Below are 14,647 nucleotides of genomic sequence, written 5' to 3' on the forward strand. Positions count from 1 at the left end.
ATGCAATACTATTAAGAAGTGGGGCTTCAGGAGGTGATTACTTATGAGGCGTAGCCCTCATGAATGGGATATGTGCCCTTATAAATGAGGCCTAAGGGATTTCATTCACCCCTTCTGCCATGTGAGGACACAGCTAGAAGGCACCGTCTTTGAAGCAGAGGGTGAGCCCTCACCAGACACTGAATCTGCTGGTGCCCTGCTCTTGGACTTTCCAGTTCTAAATGTAGAACTGTGAGCTATTCATTTATGGTTTTTATAAATTACCCAGTCTAAGGTATTTTATTACAGCTGCCTGAATGGACTAAGGCACTGACCAGTGACTTCTGTGTGAAATCTTTATAAACGATTGAAATTGTAGGGTTGAGAAGCTGTTAGGCCAGGCATGGTGGCCATGCCTGTAATCCCAGCACTTTGGGAGGTCGAGGTGGATGAATCGCTTGAGGCCAGGAGTTTGAGACCAGCCTGGTCAATCAATATGGTGAAACTCTGTCTTTACTAAAAATACAAAAATTAGCTGGGTGTGGTGGCACGCTATGTAATCCCAGCTATTCGGGAGGCTGAGGCATGAGAATTGTTTGAACCCAGGAGGCAGAAGTTGTAGTGAGCCCAGATGGTGCCGCTGCACTCCAGCCTGGGTGACAGAGCAAGACTCCATCTCAAAAAAAACAAACAAACAAACAAAAAAAAACCAGAAAGAAGCTATTAATAATATTTTTTTTCGTGTGTTTGCATTGGAGAATTTCAAAGAACTTCTCAATATTGGTGCCATTATTGCTGCTGTTACTCTCACTTGCTGTGGATCAATGTTTTGTATGTTGTACTATTTGAATTTATAGATGGGCTTCATAGGCAGCAATGGTGAGCCAGTTGACCTTGATTAAAGAACTGCATGAATATCGGCAAGTGAAAGCTTATGACTTTTATAATGAAGTCAGCCTGTGGCTATCTTTATATCTCTTATATCTGTATATCTCAAAAACCTTCTGCCGGCATTCCAACAAAGACCAGTGAGCCACATACATGTTCTTGAATGGGACAAAGGCATTCTGTAAGAAACTTAGAAGACATACTTTGGCTGTCCTTCATACTAAGCAGAATAACTAGAAAGGATTTATCAGCTTTGTGCCTGCAATAAGTATATGGGTTCATACAGAAGCAATCCTTCATGGCTGAGCCACATTCTTTAAGTCCGCAGTCATAGCGTTTCTAATCACTCTGGGTTATCTCTTATAAAAGGCCATTGCAATCTTAAGGACATTATCTAGACACTGTGTTTGTCTGCTGCTGGTTAGGCAAATGGCAAACCAAAGTGCCTGCTCAGGGAAATTACCACTCTCATTTGTCACCAGCCTGCACAGCAAAAGCACGGGTTCTGTTTCTTGCTGATTGACTAATGGTTTTGAGAAAGAAAAGTGATAGGTAGAATGCTTCTCCTAGAAGGGAAAACTGATAAAAGGAATTGACTACCCAAATCTTTTTCATTTCAATGAGATGTTCTTTTTGCTCAATTTAAATGAGCTTGTCAAAATAAATAAGCAAGCATGGTCACCATGGATGGTAAAGCCAGGTATTCAGTAGAGGAAATCAGTCTGGAGGTGGGGGTTGGTTTCTCACTCTGCTCCAGGCAGGAAAGTCTCCAATCTCATTCACTTCTTGTTCTTGTTTAGCATGCCCCCATTTCCCTCTGCGTTTGATGCAAACCATACACATCTTTTGAGGCCAACTTTAATCTCTTCTCCTCTTGGAAGTCAGAGTATTCTTTTCAGAATTCATAACGTTTTCAGTCTGTGCTGTGCAAGTTGGCACATAGTTAAATTCTTCTTTTTTATACTGTCCTCGCACTGTTCCATGACTGTTAGCCTTACCATTTAAACAGCCTGAGCTTCTCACAGAGTAGAGAAATGTTCTTGAGAACATCATTGAAACACTAGATCAAGGCATGCCTGTGGACTTTGCAATTTCCAGAACCAATAAAAGTATCTTTATTATTTAAGCTGGTTTGAATCATGTTTTTGTTATGAGTAACAAGATGGATATAGGAGATACTTGGTAAATATTTCCATAGAACTTACAGTCATCCCTATTTATCTCAATATTTTATCTCTACTCAGATCAGATGTCATTTCAAACAGAATCATATTTGAACTGCTTCCTTTTTTAAATACCAATATTCAGTTACTTTTAGATGGAGAATACTGCAACATTCCTTCAACCTGTAGGGAAAACTATGAATTAAGGAGAAGAAGTAAAAAGGAAAATTTCCTACTCCCAAACTTTCTCCCTTTATGGAAGGTTTATTGGAACTTCTGAGGAATATGGAGAAAGAGCAGCAGTTGAGGAGGGGATGACTCCACATTAATTTTCAACCTTTTCAGGTTATTCACCTCACTACTCAACTGCTCCATGGCTTGAGTCCAAGAAGGATCATTTCTAACCTTTTCTTGCAAAGTTTTCCATTCTTTTTTCTGTCTCTACCCTTTACCCCATTCATGTGCCAAATATATACCCTTCACACCATTTCTTATGACACACAGTGATTCTCTGCAACAGCAAGGTTTCTCAGTCGGAGAACTACCGACAATTTTGGTAGATAATTCTTTGTTGTGAGGGACTGTCCTGTGCATTGTACGATGTTTAGCAGCATCACTGGCTTCCACCCACCAGATGCCAGTAGCTCCCCTTCCCAGGCTGTGACAACCAAAAGTGTTTACAGATAATAGCCATTCTAGCAGGTGTGAGGTGATAGCTCATTGTGGTTTTAATTTGCATTTCCCCAACGATTAATGATGTTGAACTTTTCTTGACGAAACTGTTGGCCATTTATATGTCTTCTTTTGAGAAATGTCTGTCCAGGTCCTGTGCCTATTTTCAAATTGGGTTATTTGTTTTCTTGCTGTTGAGTTGTTTGAATTCCTTATATGTTTTGGACATTACCCCCTTAGTTAATAATTATATATTATATATTTCAAAGCTAATGAGAGTAAATTTTGAATGTCTCACCACAAAAAATAAGTGAGGTGATAAATATATTATTTGAGCTTGATTTAATCATTCCACATTGCATACATATAGCAAAACATCACTTCTACCCCATAAATGTATGCAATTGAAAAAACAAAATATTTACAGACATTGCCAAATGTCCCCTGGGAGTCAGAATTGATGCCTCCTCCCTTTGAGAACCTTGGCTGGGTCTGTGGGCAGTAGACCAGGTGTAATTTGGGAAAATGACTCACCTCCACTGTTTCCTCTTTGGAGACTCTGATCTATGCCATTAGCTTGCTGAATACATTCACTCAGGATCTCCATCCTGAAGTGACAAAAGAATCAAGATCCTTGGAGCTCTCAAAATAGAATTTATACTAGTTTCTTTCAAGCCAAATCCTCAGCAATCACTGTTCTATCAGATTATCTCACTCTCCAGTAAAAAATTGGGCCAGGTGTGGTGGCTCACACCTGTAATCCCAGCATTTTGGGAGGCTGAGGCAGGCGGATCATGAGGTCAACCTGGCCAACATGGTGAAACCCCATCTCTACTAAAAATACAAAAATTGGCTGGGCATAGTGGCGTGCACCTATAGTCCCAGCTATTTGGGAGCCTAGGCAGGAGAATCACTTGAACCTGGGAGGTGGAGGGTGCAGTGAGCTGAAATTGTGCTACTGCACTCCAATCTGACAACAGAGTGAGACTCTGTCTCAAAAAAACACGTTTTTTCTCAAACATAAACATAAAATAAATGAAAAAAATCAAGATACCTTGCACTCTGATCCCTTGGTTAATCTGTCTTATCTCAGCATTGCCATGGTTTTTATATCATGTGACCTTTCCTCAATTTGATACTGTGTTTTCATCATGATCAAGTGCCCTTTATTCACTAATAGACATCTTCATTTAACTTTCCCCAATTCAATTATCTCTTATGAGTGTGCAGAGCATTTACTGCTGAGTACTGATCTGATACCCTGACCTTCACCTGGTCTCACAATAAATAGTCAACCATGTGAAGCATTACTTATAATAGCTAAGACATGGAAACAAATGAAGTGTGTGCCCACAGATGAACGGATAAAGACAATGTGGTATATATACACAATGGAATACTATTCAGCCTTAAAAAGGAGATACTACCAATTGCAACATGGATGAACCTGGAGGGCATTAGGCTAAGTGAAATAAGCCAGCAGAGAAAGACAAACACCTTGTGATCTCACTGATAGGTAGAGTCAAAAAAAAGTCGAACTCATAGTAACAGAACAGAACGATGGTTACCAGGATCTGGGGGGTTGGGGAGAGCTGGGAGATGTTGGTCACAGAGTCCAAACCTTCAGTTATAAGATGAGTAAGTTCTAGGAGTCTGATATGCAGCACAGTGACTGTAGTTAATGATAAATGTATGTGTGAAGTTTGCTTAGAGAGTAGCTCTTTAGAGTTCTTATCACACACAAAAAAAATGGTAACAAGGTTGGGGGTAAATATGGTAATTAGCTAGACTGTGGGAATTGTTTCACAATGTATAGGTGTATCAAAACATTACATTGTTCACTCTAAATGGAGTCAAGTTTTATTTGCCAATCATAGCTCAACAGAGTTGGAAAACAAAAACAAAATCCCCCAAAACTGATGTGCTGGGGTTGCTACCCATAGCTTTCCCTGGATTTGCAGGTGGAATCATAGCCTGAATCCCCAGAAGAGTTGGGAAGGGACAAGAGGGTAAAACTTGCCCTCATAATGGGAGTGGAGACGGGCTTCTAGCTTGCTTGGACAGGATCTTCACTCTGATCTGGGTGCTCTCTTGGTTGGCGGGAGGAAGCTTGTTGCCGTGTCAGAAAGATGCTGCGCGTTTCTGGAAATGGGCAAAGACAGCACTTACCTGCACGGAGGTGGGCATTGCAGCCCCAGGCACACCCCCCAGCACCACGTGAGTGACATCACACACTTTCGCCTTGTAGCCTTGCAGCATTCAATACGTATTTGTAGACTGTAGTTTTGAAAATTAATTAAAAATGTATCTTTCCAGGTCCTTGCAGTCTAATAGGAAAACCCACAACCCCTAACTCAGTGACCGGCACATGTGACATGCTCAGGTGCCTGTGCCGTTGTTTCCGTTTGTTGAAGAGAATATAATCATATATTAGATAAAATCACACGTGGCAGTGCTGAGGTGAGGCAGATTAACCAAGGGATCAGAGTGCGCATATCTTAATTTCTTTGTTTATTTGGTTATTATATGTTTGCATTTGAGAGCAAAGACATTTTCATCTGGATAATAAGGCTTCATCTGACTAAGGTAGAGAATTATGGAGGATTTTGTCCTAATAGTAATTTCCCAGTGTCTTGATTGATTTATTATCCAAAAGATAGCAAGTAAGAAAATGGAATAAAGCTCTCGAGAGGACCGGTACTGAGCTGGGATCAAGAGATCTGGCTTCCTGTCCTCATCTATGGATGGCCTGGGATAAAGTCTGACTTTACCTTCCCAGGTATCATTCTGTATGTTTATGTATTTCTTATATAAACAGGAAGTGTGGACTAGATAATTCAGATGATTTCTGACATTCTATGATTGGATTACAGAAGTTCTGACTTTCTGAGCAGCAGGTTTTAAAACCCATTGTTTTCACTCTTCTTCCATCTCTTAGACCCATGAGTCTCCTGGGGATGGTTATTGATAGACATATTGTACCTTAAATATTTTTGATGTGTGTGATGGTTAATTGTATATGTCAATTTGATTGGGCCACAGGATGCCTAGGTGGTAGCTGGTTAAACACTATTTCTGGGTGTTTCTGCGAGGGTGTTTCCAAAAGGGATGAGCATTTGAATTGCTGGACTCAGTAAAACCCATGGCACTCCCCAGCATGGGCGGGTGTTATCCTGTCCGTTCAAGGCTGGAATACAGCAAAAAGCCAGAGGAAGGCTGAATTCACTCTCCCTCTATGGGACTGCTTGAACTGAGGCATGAATCTTCTTCCCTGGGAAGTCCTGGTTCCTAGGCCTTCAGGCTTGGACTGGGATGTATACCATTGGCTCTCAGGCTCTCAGGCCTTTGAACGACACTACTGGCCTTCCCAGGTCTCCAGCCTGCAGAGGGCAGATTGTGGGATTTCTCAATCTCTATAATCATGTGAGCCAATACCTTTTAATACCTTACCCCCTACCCACTCTCTGTGCCTACACACACACACACGCACAAAAATACAGACAGACACACCCACACCCACACACACACAAGCATTCACAAAAAGACAGACACACACACGCAGACACACACACGCAAGCACACACATTCATGCATGTATTTGTTTTGCTTAGTTTCTCTGGAGCATACTAACACATGCAGTGTGCTTCTGCAGTCCTCTGCGTGCCTGTCCCAGGTAGACAGCACCTGTGCTCCCTCTCATCCCTGCACTGCCACAGTTTGCTACCCTGCCTCTCAGGGCCTTTCCTTTGATATAAATGTGTAGGTGTGGGCTGCATACAGACCTAGTGGGCAGCTGTGTGTTCTCATTCACTCCCCATTCCCTGGGAGGCTATCATAGCTCCAACTGGAAATCCAGATGGGTCATAGTCCCCCATTGGCCTTAGCTGTTAAAGTTGTTAAAGTCAGTTTGTGAAAGTCCTCTGAGGATTCTAGCAACAGAACAGCAGGAAAGGCCTTTGTGTTCTAACTATTTCTGGCTTTACCTTCGTTTTCTTTTCCTACATTCATTTTTCTTTTCTCTCAATTTCTTTATTAACATTTCTGTTTTATTTTTAAAGTCTTGTCTATGAACACCTCCACTCCTTCTCCTCAAGCTTAATGAGAGTACCTGGGATTCTAATGTTTGTTTGTTTATTTTTATTTGTACAAACTTACGGGGTACATTTGCAATTTTGTTACATGCATAGATTTTATAGTAGCCAAATAGAATTTTTAGGGTGTCCATCACAAAAAAAGGCACATTGTACATAATAAGTAATTTCTTATTATAATGTTTAATTCACACTTCTGGGCTTGAGCAAATATACGTGAACAGTAAATCTGAGTCAATGCAAATAGGCTATCTGGGAGGAACACAGTTAGCACAAATGACCCCATCCATAGCTGTGATTCAGAAAGTAGGATGTCAAGGAAAGGAGACAGGTGCAGGTGACTACTGAAGTGTTTTGGTGTGGAGGGACAGGGAGGGAGTGTGCCGTGGCACAGAAGCAGAGCAGGACAGCCTCTCTGAGAGTGTGCTGCAGATATCTGGGGTGGAGGGTGAGGGGTGGTGCATGGCAGGAGCTGGGTGAGGACGTCACCTCTTACCTCTGAGGTACGACAGCAGGAAGAGGATCAGCGCCAACACAGTGGCAAACTTACCTTGGTCCTGATTCTGCATGCAAGAGATCTTTTCGCCAGGCCATTGAGTAGACTGGACAGCCTTTAAAGAATCCAGGCCATCGTTAAAAACACAGAAATATTAGTAACTTCAATGCCCAGGGCTGAAAAAAAACAGCCCAGCTTATTCCATTATGCTGACCTACTGCTACACATACGAGATGATTCTAGAAACAAAAACACAAACCTTTAGCTTCTTGGCTTTAAGATGAGTCATAAGTGATCCCATGTGGGCAACTAAGCTACTCACTGACAAAACTTAATTATGTTATGTATTTTGGAAAATGGTATGATTCAGCCACAGGGACTCAATACCCCTCAGAAGCGATCAGCATTTTAGCAGTCTTTTAGATCTAATTTTCAAATGGAAAGTAATCGTGAGGGGACACATATTATTTAACACTCATCACCATATATAAGTGTGCTTGCTGCTGTTTCTGGATTGAATAAGCCAAGAGCTCATCTGGGCATTCTGTGGGACATGAAAATTCACTTGTGGTTTTTCTTTCAAGAATTGCAGCAGGATTGTAGGAAGTTAAAATTGATTTGTAATCATTTGAGAGATGATGATCTGGAAAGGAAAATAATCTGTAGGTCAACAGTGATAAATTTAAGCAATTTCATAGCAATTTTCAAGTTCTTGGGACATGCCTTGCTTATTTCCAATTTCAAGTGTTCGTTGTGGCTTAAAAGCCCTGCCTCCCTTCTCTATTTTCCAAGTCTAGGCTGACCATGGTCTGAGCCACCAGCCAAAAGCCACCAGGATTGTATCTGAATTGAATGAGTTGGAATTGACCTTTTGTTAAATGAGCTGAATCTCCCGAAAAGAAGAAGCCCATGATGGAGAACTGTGGAGTACCAGCATCTCTGTTGGAGAGTGTTAGAAAGGACTTACTACAGGAGCCTGGGCCTCGTGTGAGGTGAGCCGGGGGATGGTCCCAGGAAGTGGAGCTTTGCTGTGGACTGGTTATTATCAGGAAGCAGGGCTAATTCTCTAGTTGGGTAGCTCCATAGATCACACTGAGAAGACAGGAAGACTAGACTGAGGCCAATCATTCTAACTGATGAAGTGACAGGAACTCCCATCAGCTAGGATGGTGGTATGTTTGCTCACAATGATGCTCTGTGTCCAGACATAATTACAGAGGGTCTTGTTTTTGCCTTGATCCATCACGATCACAGAGCAGCCTTGTCTAGTGTTGATGTTGTGTACATTGTTGATTTCAGCAGCAGGATACAAGGCTGTCTTCTGGAGGTCAGGAGCTGCTTTTCTGTTTCTCACCATTGAACTTACATTATCCAAATTGGGACACTTCAAGAGTGAATGGGGGTGCCATTGATAGTGGCAGAGGCAGACAAATGCCTAGGCAGATGGGGCAGGTGCCCAGTGAAACTCCACCTCCAAGCCGAAGACAGCTTAAAGCCTGAAAGCCAAGCTACAAGTCAAATCCATGGACTGGACTGAGAACCTGTCCTACCATGTGGCGTGCTTTCCTCTGATTGATCCTCACCCTTCACCTATTTTACATATACCTACCCTTTCTTAATGGGTTTTCTACACTGCTGTGCCCACCTTTGAGTGGTGCCTTTGCTTCAGCCTTTCTTTGCATACGCACAAACCAATCATCATGCACTCTCCTATTCTGAGCCTATAAAATCTCAGCCACACCAGGAGAGTAAACAACGGACTGTGGTGGTGGGGGACCACCCCACGTCCCCTCTCTGCTGAGAGCTGTTCCATCGCTGAATAAAATTCTTCTCTGCCCTCCTCACCCTTCAATTGTCAGCATATCCTCATTCTTCTTGGACGTGGAATAAGAGCTTGGAAACCACTGAATGTGGGTACAAGATACAACACAGGTGGACTGGGGCTCCACACCTGGCCCAGCTGTGGGCTGAGCTGGTGCACAAGCCAGACTTGACTGAGTGCCTCCTGCAACAGGTAGGGTCCCTTCTGCAGCAGGTAGAGTGCCTGAGTTAGGCCTCAGTCAGGGCATCACCAGCCAGAGGTCCCCAGCTGGCAAAGTGACTGAGAAAAATCCTGCATCACTGTTAATCATTTTGCAGGATTGACAGGTGTAAACTGTGACTGCTGTCAAGAAACGGGCTGGGGCAATGTTCACACTGAAATCTTGCCCTTCCAATTCAGCTGCCCCTTCCAAAGGTCCCCTTTGCACTGTTTTTATCATATTAATTAGTATCATTGGAGCTCCCAGTACAATGTTTCTCTTTCATACTACATTTTGTGCTTCATCAGGTAGGATCTTGTCAGGAAACAGAATTGTACCCAGAGGTTGTAGCTGCAGAAACCCAACAAAGGCATTGATTACTGAGGACTGTGCTTTAAGGTTTAGGGATGCAGCAGGGAGAGCTGAAGCTAGCCACACACTGCAGAAGGCTTTGCTGCTGGGCAAGAAGGAAATGGTGGTGGGGCTGCAGCCCTGAAGGGGCCTCTGGCAGGAGCTGTGGTTAGGAGGGCAGCAGTCTCTCTGCCTGGGGCAGGGGGAAGCTGGGAGGGAGCAGTCAACCAGACCCAGCTAGCAAGGGAGGTGGGCAGGACAGGATGGCGAGGAAGGGGTAGGGGAGTAGTCCGCAGCTCAGCACGGGAGACTCTGTGCACTTACGAGTACACCACTTCTGCATTGTTCTAACAACCTTTAGAGGGAGGCCTAGTAGGTCGAGTGTGCTCATTGCTCATTTTACAGAGAAGGAGAGTGGGCCCAGGGTCAGATGTGTCCATGGTGATGTGGCTGGACAGCCACAGGGACTGGCAATATAGCTCCTGACTTCCAGTTCAGTTGATAGCAAAACAGGGGGCAGGGAGTGTGGAAAAGACCTCACAACTGCCAGGGTGTGAGTGGAGCAGGAGACCTGGTCAGAGAGGAAGGAGGTGATTTGTGTGGTATGTTCTCACTCAGCTATATGCAGCTGCAATGAAGGGAAGGTTTTCTGAGAGTCATAGTGGCATTCGGGAGAATCCAAATGGTTTTGACAAGCAGCAGAGCAGGACGCAGTCACTGTTACCAGCACCTGATGGTTTTCTCCCTTGCTTGCTTTCTTTCCACTCTATTAATTTGTTTGGATGTTGAAGACCAAGGGCCTATAATTCTGTAACATTTGTTGAAATCTCATAGAGCTGTCTGAGTGAAATCAAATGAAGATGGATAAAGGGAATGGGGGTGGGATTGACTTGATCTACTGTGAGGAGTGAGGGAAATTTGGATTGGGTCAGATGGGAGAACACAGAACTCCAGAGGAAGAATGGAAGACTCTGGAGTCAGAAGGATGTGCCTTGCACCCATGCTTGTGTGTGCATGTGTGCACATTATGTGTGAGTGTGCATGTGTGCCCCTGCATGTGTACCGTGCGTATGTGTGAGTATGTGTGCATGTGTTTGGCAGGCTGGGAAAACCAGGTGTAGGTAGCTCTCAGGACTAGTAGATGACCAGCCTGAGAAGTGATCATATTGAGGACACAGCATGTGAGGTGAGTTGGTGTCAGATCCTGAATGACAAGAAAAGTGATTTGGATATGGTCAAACAGTAGGGCAACATGTGTCCAGATTTGTCCTGGACAGGTTTTGTTCTGCGGTAATTAGTATCACCAGCATGCCCTTTGGCCTGCAGAAGTATCTCCAACAAATTATTTGGTCATCCTTTCTGATAGGAAGTGGGAAACCATTGTAGGCTCAAATGTTCCAAGCTGGACTACGGATTCTAGTTAATTATCCTTGTCTTCTGTTCCTGGTCCTATCCACAAGTGCAAGGCTGGACATGACTCTTCACTCTGTCTTTGACTCTGAGTTCAATTCTTGATTTTGACAGAAGGTGTTTTTTGTATCTCTTTCCCAGACCTTCTGCTGAGGATATATGGCTCTGAGTTTGCAGAAGATCAAAACTTTAAATAAAAATCGGTTAACTATGTGAGGTGATGGATATGCTGATTTGCTTGACTGTAATAATCATTTCCCAATGTATATGTATATCAAACCATCAAATTGTATAAATTGTATTTCAATAAAACTGTTTTTGTTTTGTTTTGTTTTGTTTGAGATGGAGTTTTTTGCTCTTGTTGCCCAGGCTGGAGTACAATGGCATGATCTTGGCTTACCGCAACCTCTGCCTCCCGGGTTCAAGCGATTCTCTTGCCTCAGCCTCCTGAGTAGCTGGAATTACAGGCATGTGCCACCACGCCTGGCTAATTTTGTATTTTTAGTAGAGACAGGGTTTCTCCATGTTGGTCAGGCTGGTCTCGAACTCCTGACCTCAGGTGATCCACCTGCCTCAGCTTCCTAAAGTGCTGGGATTACAGGCATGAGCCACCACGCCCATCCAAAACTTTTCTTTTTTAAAAAAATCAAAACTTTTCTCTGGCCCAGTTTTCAGGGCATGGGTGTTTCCTGTGATTTAATTGTTCATTATCTTTACTTGTGGCAAAAGAGCACGCGCGTCTCCTCCTTCAGAGCACGTACAATAAGCGACCTTAGCAGAAGGAGAGAACTAGCAGGAGAACAAGGGAGGGAGTTAAGGTCGTTTTCCAGCAATTGTGTATTCAGGAAGTGTGAGGGCACATTGTTGTTTTACATTCATATGCAAATAGCTCTGTGTCTTGACTGGCTTCAAGGAAAGCTTTGAAAACATCAAAACAGAACTCTGTCTGAAAATGTTCTTACAGCACTGTCTCCAAAACATTCATGCCTTAAGTGATGAATACCTAAACATCTCTCAGTCAGAATGGCTTTCTTTCCTCTCTTCCCTGATATGCATAACAATGACTAAGTGTGGACTTCTGATTTCTTTTTCACACAATGGTAGCCCATGCAGTGACCCTCATACTTCTACAAACTTAGGACACTCTTGGAGTAGGTACTTTGGTGACTGGCTTACAATACTGCACGTCGCAATCTGAGGGCATTGAATGAAGCCTCTATGATCATGAGGATGTTAGAAGGCCAGCCATCCAGGATCCTGGAGACTTGAGATGGAATCAAAGAGGCATAAAAGGTGATTAAAGCGAGAAAACCTGAGAGGCACATCTACCGTACAGCTACTCTCAGAGTTTTTCCATACAATGTGCTATAAGAAAAAAATGACTAACATGTGCATTGAAACTTTGTTCAAAATACAAAATTCAAGCTGGCATTCTATGTTTGCCAAATTCTGACCCATGTGTCTTTCCAGCTTTATCCTCTGCTATTCCTCTATGCAAATATGATGGTGTATCTAAACTAACCTTGTGTCTCCTGCATATGTACACTTGCTTCTAGAAAATGTATGCACACTGCTTCATCTGCAGTGCCCTCTTTCACCTCTTTTTTTGTTTTTTTGAGACGGAGTCTTGCTCTGTTGCCAGACTGGAGTGCAGTGATGCGATCTCGGCTCACTACAACCTCCGCCTCCTGGGTTAAAGTGATTCTCCTGCCTCAGCCTCCTGAGTAGCTGGGATGACAAGCGTGTGCCACCACACCTGGCTAATTTTTTGTATTTTAGTAGAGATGGGGTTTCATCATATTTGCCAGGATGGTCTTGATCTCCTGACCTCATGATCTGCCTGCCTTGGCCTCCCAAAGTGCTGGGATCACAGGCATGAGCCACTGTACCCAGCCACTTCTTTTCATATCTAGGTTGCACCTCCTTTTCTCTATGAGCCATTGTGTCTGCTCCAGTCTGGAGTGATTTGCTATACCTCTGAGCACCCACCTACTTGCACTGGTGTTGGTTATTTAGTAATTGCTAGTAGCAAGAGCATAACCCTGTTGTCCTAGTCCATTTTCTGTTGTTATTACTGAGTATCTGAGACTGGGTAATTTATATAGAAAATATATTTACATTACTTCCTACATTGCTGGAGGCTGGGAAGTTTAAGGTTGAGGGGCTGCATCTGGTGAGGGCCGTCTTGCTGGTGGAGTCCCAAGGCGGGACAGGGCATCACATGGTTAGCGTGCTCATGAGAGACAGCCAAACTAGATTTTATAGTAGACTAGCTCTTATGATAAGTAACCCCCACCATGATAACTCATTAATCCATTAATCCATTAATCCATGAATGAATTAATCCATTCATGGCAGAGACCTCTTGACTCAGTTATTTCCTAAAAGTCCCACCTCTCAACACTACTGCATTGGAGATAAAGTTTCCAACAGATGAACTTATGGGGGACACATTCAGACCATAGCACCTGCATTCAGAGTTGAGTCTTCCTTCATACTCATCTTCCATGTAGCAGTTGGATAGTCTTGGGTGAAAACTTCATATGTTTGAACCTAGTTTTTTCATGTGTAAATTGTTGGGGAAGGAGCAAGGAATGTGGTTTATGGCCAAGTTTACCGGCTGCCTAGTAGGTTGGGTCCCCAAGGCACACAGGTCAGAGAAATTGCTCAGAATCCCAGTTTGGTTGAGGTGTTCCCTTTGGATTGACGCATTCTTCTTGTCCTCCTTGCTCCACCCCAAGTCCATGTCTCCAGTGTTTCACTGGCCAACGTTCATCAACATGACCTATCAGGGAGCCTGGATTCCTTTGCTCTTTTAGAAACCAAGATGCCAGTAGCTTGCGCCTGTATGAGTTTTTCATTGCTTTCTCTGTCTCCAGGGTTTTTTCCTACAAGATTTATTTCTGAGTTAAGGAGTGTTTTACAGCTATATTTCTGGAAACCAAACAGAAAAATAAACCACTCAAACATCTGTACTTGGTCCTGTTGACTGTCTAGAAAACTCCTATTAGCCTTTCTTAATGAGTTGTATATGCTTTATTTGAGAGATTTTTCTGCCCATTGTCCTGGCCTGGCCCATTCTGCTGCTGAGGGATTGCAACTGAATATTGTGCTAGTTTAGGGGAGTTTGTGACATCATTGATTTTAAGGGGTGAAGCCCTACAGTTTTCCAGAGACTTACTTGAGGGGGGGCATTGCAAAATTATAGGCAGTGAATGCTGTTCCTACAGTAGGCTATAAGGAGTAATTGTACTATCATGTCCTTTAATTTCTGTCTTTCAGAGTAGAATAGACCATTCTGGGAGGTCAAGGGGAGTTCTTCCAAAAAATCAAGGCATACCCCATATTTGATAGAACTCAATATCCAGCACCTAAAAACTGATCACAGTCACTTTTTACTTTATACACCTTCACATTTTTAAAATTTGGTAAAGATACATTACTTTCTCTAATAAAGTAAGTGACAAAGGAAAACCCCTAGTTTCCAGGGAAAATCACTGTAAACAGGTTTCATGTGCTTTGAAAAAGCATGAGTGAAAAGATAGATACCAAAATCAAGATGATTATTTTCTATAT

General features: G+C 43.1%; 1 long non-coding RNA gene across 1 annotated transcript in view, besides 1 other annotated feature; it reads left to right on the forward strand.

Annotated features, from left to right (window-relative positions):
- Positions 1-14,647, forward strand: part of LOC102723686 (uncharacterized) — a 121,255-nt gene that overhangs the window by 65,200 nt on the left and 41,408 nt on the right. Inside the window, exon 9 of the long non-coding RNA XR_007060599.1 lies at positions 8,082-8,281. This is a non-coding gene — a long non-coding RNA (uncharacterized LOC102723686). The remainder of the gene's footprint in view (positions 1-8,081; positions 8,282-14,647) is intronic.
- Positions 11,682-12,195: an enhancer, noted in NCBI's record as "OCT4-NANOG-H3K27ac hESC enhancer chr7:152955709-152956222 (GRCh37/hg19 assembly coordinates)". NCBI's record gives its function as "activates a minimal SCP1, AML or CMV promoter by ChIP-STARR-seq in primed H9 embryonic stem cells {active_cell/tissue: H9 hESC(primed)}" and the evidence as "EXISTENCE:reporter gene assay evidence [ECO:0000049][PMID:30033119]".

The sequence above is a fragment of the Homo sapiens genome, chromosome 7, assembly GCF_000001405.40.
Source record: "Homo sapiens chromosome 7, GRCh38.p14 Primary Assembly".
In the NCBI taxonomy this organism is placed as follows: Eukaryota; Metazoa; Chordata; class Mammalia; order Primates; family Hominidae; genus Homo; species Homo sapiens.